The sequence below is a fragment of the Homo sapiens genome, chromosome 2 (assembly GCF_000001405.40).
Source record: "Homo sapiens chromosome 2, GRCh38.p14 Primary Assembly".
Classification (NCBI taxonomy): domain Eukaryota; kingdom Metazoa; phylum Chordata; class Mammalia; order Primates; family Hominidae; genus Homo; species Homo sapiens.
This window is the reverse complement of record NC_000002.12, coordinates 134,064,068-134,070,068: the sequence shown is the minus strand read 5'-3', so window position 1 is coordinate 134,070,068 and position 6,001 is coordinate 134,064,068. Positions and strand designations below refer to the sequence as shown.

General features: G+C 42.7%; 1 annotated feature.

Moving 5' to 3' along the window:
• Window positions 5,032-5,663: an enhancer, noted in NCBI's record as "NANOG-H3K27ac hESC enhancer chr2:134821977-134822608 (GRCh37/hg19 assembly coordinates)". NCBI's record gives its function as "activates a minimal SCP1, AML or CMV promoter by ChIP-STARR-seq in primed H9 embryonic stem cells {active_cell/tissue: H9 hESC(primed)}" and the evidence as "EXISTENCE:reporter gene assay evidence [ECO:0000049][PMID:30033119]".

Genomic DNA, 6,001 nt, shown 5'->3' with positions numbered 1-6,001 from the left:
AGGCCTCCTCATTTCCAAATACAGACATGTGCCTCATAACAATGGTTTGGTCAATAATGAACAACATATGCAATGGTAGTCTCACATTATAATGCTATACTTTAGTAGGCTATGCCATCTAGGTTTGTGTAAGCACACTCTGCAATGTCACTATGATAAAACTTCCTGGTGATGCGTTTCTCAGAATGTATCCCCATTGCTAAGCAGTGCATGATTGTACAGTCACATGAAGGGTTAGGGCTTCAACATATGAATTTTGGGGAGGATACAATTTAGTCCATAGCACTAGGATGAATTTGAGAGAGAGCCCAGTATGCCTGTTCTCTGTGGGATCAGACTGCCAAAGCCCTCACCATGGCTGCCCCTGTAGAGGTGAATTCTTTGAAGAACAGCAGTGAAAAGGGCACAGGTCTATGTGGCGGTAGATGAGGAGTAGACAACAGTTGTGGGAAGACACAGTGACATTTGGTGGCGAGGGCATCTGTAAGGGAATGCCACTGGCATTCTTTTTTTTTTGAGACAGAGTCTCACTCTGTTGCTCGGCTGGAGTGCAGTGGTGCTATCTCAGCTCACTGCAACCTCTGCCTCCCAGGATCAAGTGATTCTCCTGCCTCGGCCTTCCAAGCAGCTGGGACTATAGGCGTGCACCACCATGCCTGGCTAATTTTTGTATTTTAGTAGAGAAAAGGTTTCACTGTGTTGGCCAGGCTGGTCTCAAACTCCTGACCTCAGGTGATACGCCTGCCTTGGCCTCTCAAAGTGCTAGGGTTACAGGTGTGAGCCACCATGCCTGGCTGCCACTGGCATTCCTAATAAACCACCACCCAATCCTATAAGGTTGGAAGTAAAGGGAGAAACTCCAAGTGTGTGGGACTGGTTGGAAATTGGGACCCAAAGATTTATTCTTGTTTCTAAAAATCTCTCCCAGCTTGCTACTGACACTCATCATGATGGTCTAGGGGATTTCTGTTGTCTCTTAACAATCCCATTACCAAAGGTATCCCCGACTTTCTTTTCTCTGTTCCCTGATGTATACAAGGGCTTTTTTTCTTTTCTTTCCTTTTATTTTTTCTCTTTTCCTTCCCTTCCCTTCCCCTCTTTCCCTTTCCCTTTCCTTTTCCCTTTCCCTTCCTTCCTTTCCATTTCCCTTTCTCTCTCTCTCCTTTCTTTCTTTCTTTCTTTCTTTCTTTCTTTCTTTCTTTCTTTCTTTCTTTCTTTCTTTCTTTTTCTTCCTTTCTTCCTTCCTTTCTTTCTCTCTTTCTTTCTTCTTTCTTTTTTGAGACAGAGTTTTGGTCTGTCACCCAAGCTGGAGTGGAGTGGCACAAACTTGGGTCACTGCAACCTCCTATGCTATCTTGGACACCCAGGGTTGACTTATTCTCAGACTGACTCATCTGGGAGGCTCCTTGGTTGACAACTCAGGGTATTTACTCAGTGTTACCTCTTACAATGCTGTTCTTGAAAAAGCAAATAACCAGTTGCGGGAGACTGGTTAAGAAGGTGGCTGTGGAATGAGCCTGGATTGGGGTTGATTTCTGCAGGTGTCTGTCACTGTATTAGGTCTATTATTAATACTAACCTGTGACTGCTAGTAGCCATGGAGAGGCCTACCATTCTTGTGTTAGAATGACAGTAGGCTTCAAATGATCCAGGACTAGTCAAGCATCTGAACACATACTAGGCTGTCCAAAAATTACTTGTTGAATATATACATGAACAAAGCGGCCAGTCAGGATGTTCCTATATCATCATCAACTGTGATAATAGTTAATATTTATTGTGTATTTACTATATGGCTTGAACTTTTGAAACTACTTTTGAAAGGGAAAGTCATTCCTAAATTAAAAGTCCTCAAAAGTCATGTAATCCAGTGATCTCACCTACGAGACTTAGGGTTGTCCATATTATCTCAGAGGGTTTGGGTGGGAATAATTAGGAGGAAGATGAAAGCCCCAGAGCTGGGGCTCAAGCCCTGCTTCAATTAAACCAGCAACACTTTTATCTATCTTCTGTACTGATAGTGTTAAATATATGTATATTTAACAATGTATTTTAGCAATGACATATATATTAGATACCTAATTAGATATATATATCTAATATATATAATTAGAAACAGGGTTTCATTGCTAAAACAATATATTTAGGCAATCCACATACTTTGATCACTATGTATAATATAATATATAATATATAATATATATTTTATTTTCATTTTTATTTATTTATTTATTTTTTATTTTTATTTTTATTTTTTATTATACTTTAAGTTTTAGGGTACATGTGCACAATGTGCAGGTTTGTTACATATGTATACATGTGCCATGTTGGTGTGCTGCACCCATTAACTCATCATTTAGCATTGGGTATATCTCCTAATGCTATCCCTCCCCCCTCCCACCACCCCACAACAGTCCCCGGTGTGTGATGTTCCCCTTCCTGTGTCCATGTGTTCTCATTGTTCAATTCCCACCTATGAGTGAGAACATGCGGTGTTTGGTTTTTTGTCCTTGGGACAGTTTGCTGAGAATGATGGTTTCCAGTTTCATCCATGTCCCTACAAAGGACACGAACTCATCATTTTTTATGGCTGCATAGTATTCCATGGTGTATACATGCCACATTTTCTTAATCCAGTCTATCCTTGTTGGACATTTGGGTTGGTTCGAAGTCTTTGCTATTGTGAATAGTGCCGCAATAAACGTACGTGTGCATGTGTCTTTATAGCAGCATGATTTACAATCCTTTGGGTATATACCCAGTAATGGGATGGCTGGGTCAAATGGTATTTCTAGTTCTAGATCCCTGAGGAATCGCCACACTGACTTCCACAGTGGTTGAACTAGTTTCCAGTCCCACCAACAGTGTAAAAGTGTTCCTATTTCTCCACATGCTCTCCAGCACCTGTTGTTTCCTGACTTTTTAATGATCGCCATTCTAACTGGTGTGAGATGGTATCTCATTGTGGTTTTGATTTGCATTTCTCTGATGGCCAGTGATGATGAGCATTTTTTCATGTGTCTTTTGGCTGCATAAATGTCTTCTTTTGAGAAGTGTATGTTCATATCCTTTGCCCACTTTTTGATGGCGTTGTTTGTTTTTTTCTTGTAAATTTGTTTGAGTTCTTTGTAGATTCTGGATATCAGCCCTTTGTCAGATGAGTAAGTTGCAAAAATTTTCTCCCATTCTGTAGGTTGCCTGTTCACTCTGAAGGTAGTTTCTTTTCCCAGCACCATTTATTAAATAGGGAATCCTTTCCCCATTTCTTGTTTTTGTCAGATTTGTCAAAGACCAGATAGTTGTAAATATGTGGCATTATTTCTGAGGTCTCTGTTCTGTTCCATTGGTCTATATCTCTGTTTTGGTACCAGTACCATGATGTTTTGGTTACTGTAGCCTTGTAGTATAGTTTGAAGTCAGGTAGCGTGATGCCTCCAGCTTTGTTCTTTTGGCTTAGGACTGATTTGGCAATGCAGGCTCTTTTTTGGTTCCATATGAACTTTAAAGTAGTTTTTTCCAATTCTGTGAAGAAAGTCATTGGTAGCTTGATGGAGATGGCATTGAATCTATAAGTTACCTTGGGCAGTATGGCCATTTTCACAATATTGATTCTTCCTATCCATGAGCATGGAATGTTCTTCCATTTGTTTGTATCCTCTTTTATTTCATTGAGCAGTGGTTTGTTAGTTCTCCTTGAAGAGGTCCTTCACATCCCTTGTAAGTTGGATTCCTAGGTATTTTATTCCCTTTGAAGAAGTTGTGAATGGGAGTTTACTCATGATTTGGCTCTCTGTTTGTCTGTTATTGGTGTATAAGAATGTTTGTGATTTTTGCACATTGATTTTGTATCCTGAGACTTTGCTGAAGTTGCCTATCAGCTTAAGGAGATTTTGGGCTGAGATGATGGGGTTTTCTAGATGTACAATCATGTCATCTGCAAACAGGGACAATTTGACAATTTGACTTCCTCTTTTCCTAATAGAATACCCTTTATTTCCTTCTCCTGCCTTATTGCCCTGGCCAGAACTTCCAACACTATGTTGAATAGGAGTGGTGAGAGAGGGTATCCCTCTCTTGTGCCAGTTTTCAATGGGAACGCTTCCAGTTTTTGTCCATTCAGGATGATATTGGCTGTCGGTTTGTCATAGATAGCTCTTATTATTTTGAGATGTGTCCCATCAATACCTAATGTATTGAGAGTTTTTAGCATGAAGGGTTGTTGAATTTTGTCAAAGGCCTTTTCTGCATCTGTTGAGATAATCATGTGGTTTTTGTCTTTGATTCTGTTTATATGCTGCATTATGTTTATTGATTTTTGTATGTTGAACCAGCCTTGCATCCCAGGGATGAGGCCCACTTGATCACGGTGGATAAGCTTTTTGATGTGCTGCTGGATTTGGTTTGTCAGTATTTTATTGAGGATTTTTGCATCGATGTTTACCAGGGATATTGGTCTAAAATTCTCTTTGTTGTGTCTCTGCCAGGCTTTGGTATCAGGATGATGCTGGCCTCATAAAATGAGTTAGGGAGAGTTCCCTCTTTTTCTATTGATTGGAATAGTTTCAGAAGGAATGGTACCAGCTCCTCCTTGTACCTCTCGTAGAATTTGGCTGTGAATCCATCTGGTCCTGGACTTTTTTTGGTTGGTAAGCTATTAATTATTGCCTCAACTTCAGAGCCTGTTATTGGTCTATTCAGAGATTCAGCTTCTTCCTGGTTTAGTCTTGGGAGGGTGTATGTGTCGAGGAATTTATCCATTTCTCCTAGATTTTCTAGTTCATTTGTGTAGAGGTGTTTACAGTATTCTCCTATGGTAGTTTGTATTTCTGTGGGATCGGTGATGATATCCCCTTTATCATTTTTTATTGCGTCTATTTGATTCTTCTCTCTTTTCTTCTTTATTAGTATTGCTAGTGGTCTATCAATTCTGTTGATCTTTTCAAAAAACCAGCTCCTGGATTCATTGATTTTTTGAAGGGTTTTTTTGTGTCTCTATTTCCTTCAGTTCTGCCCTGATCTTAGTTATTTCTTGCCTTCTGCCAGCTTTTGAATGTGTTTGCTCTAGCTTCTCTAGTTCTTTTTTTTTTTTCATTTTTTTTTTTTTTTTATTGATCGTTCTTGGGTGATCAGAGGGGGATTTGGCAGGGTCACAGGACAATAGTGGAGGGAAGGTCAGCAGATAAACAAGTGAACAAAGGTCTCTGGTTTTCCTAGGCAGAGGACCCTGGGGCCTTCCACAGTGTTTGTGTCCCTGGGTACTTGAGATTAGGGAGTGGTGATGACTCTTAACGAGCATGCTGCCTTCAAGCATCTGTTTAACAAAGCACATCTTGCACCGCCCTTAATCCATTCAACCCTGAGTGGACACAGCACTTGTTTCAGAGAGCACAGGGCTGGGGGTAAGGTCAAAGATCAACAGGATCCCAAGACAGAAGAATTTTTCTTAGTACAGAACAAAATGAAAAGTCTCCCATGTCTACCTCTTTCTACACATAGACACGGCAACCATCCGATTTCTCAATCTTTTCCCCACCTTTCCCCCCTTCCTATTCCACAAAACCGCCATTATCATCATGGCCCGTTCTCAATGAGCTGTTGGGTACACCTCCCAGACGGGGTGGTGGCCGGGCAGAGAGGCTCCTCACTTCCCAGTAGGGGCGGCCGGGCAGAGGCGTCCCTCACCTCCCGGACGGGGCAGCTGGCCGGGTGGGGGCTGACCCCCCCACCTCCCTCCCGGACAGGGCGGCTGACCGGGCTGGGGGCTGACCCCCCCACCTCCCTCCCAGATGGGGCGGCTGGCCGGGCGGGGGGCTGACCCCCCCACCTCCCTCCCGGACGGGGTGGCTGGCCTGGCGGGGGCTGACCCCCACCTCCCTCCCGGACGGGGTGGCTGCCGGGTGGAGATGCTCCTCACTTCCCAGAAGGGGTGGCTGCCGGGCGGAGGGTCTCCTCACTTCTCAGACGGGGCGGCCGGGCAGAGACGGTCCTCACCTCCCAGACG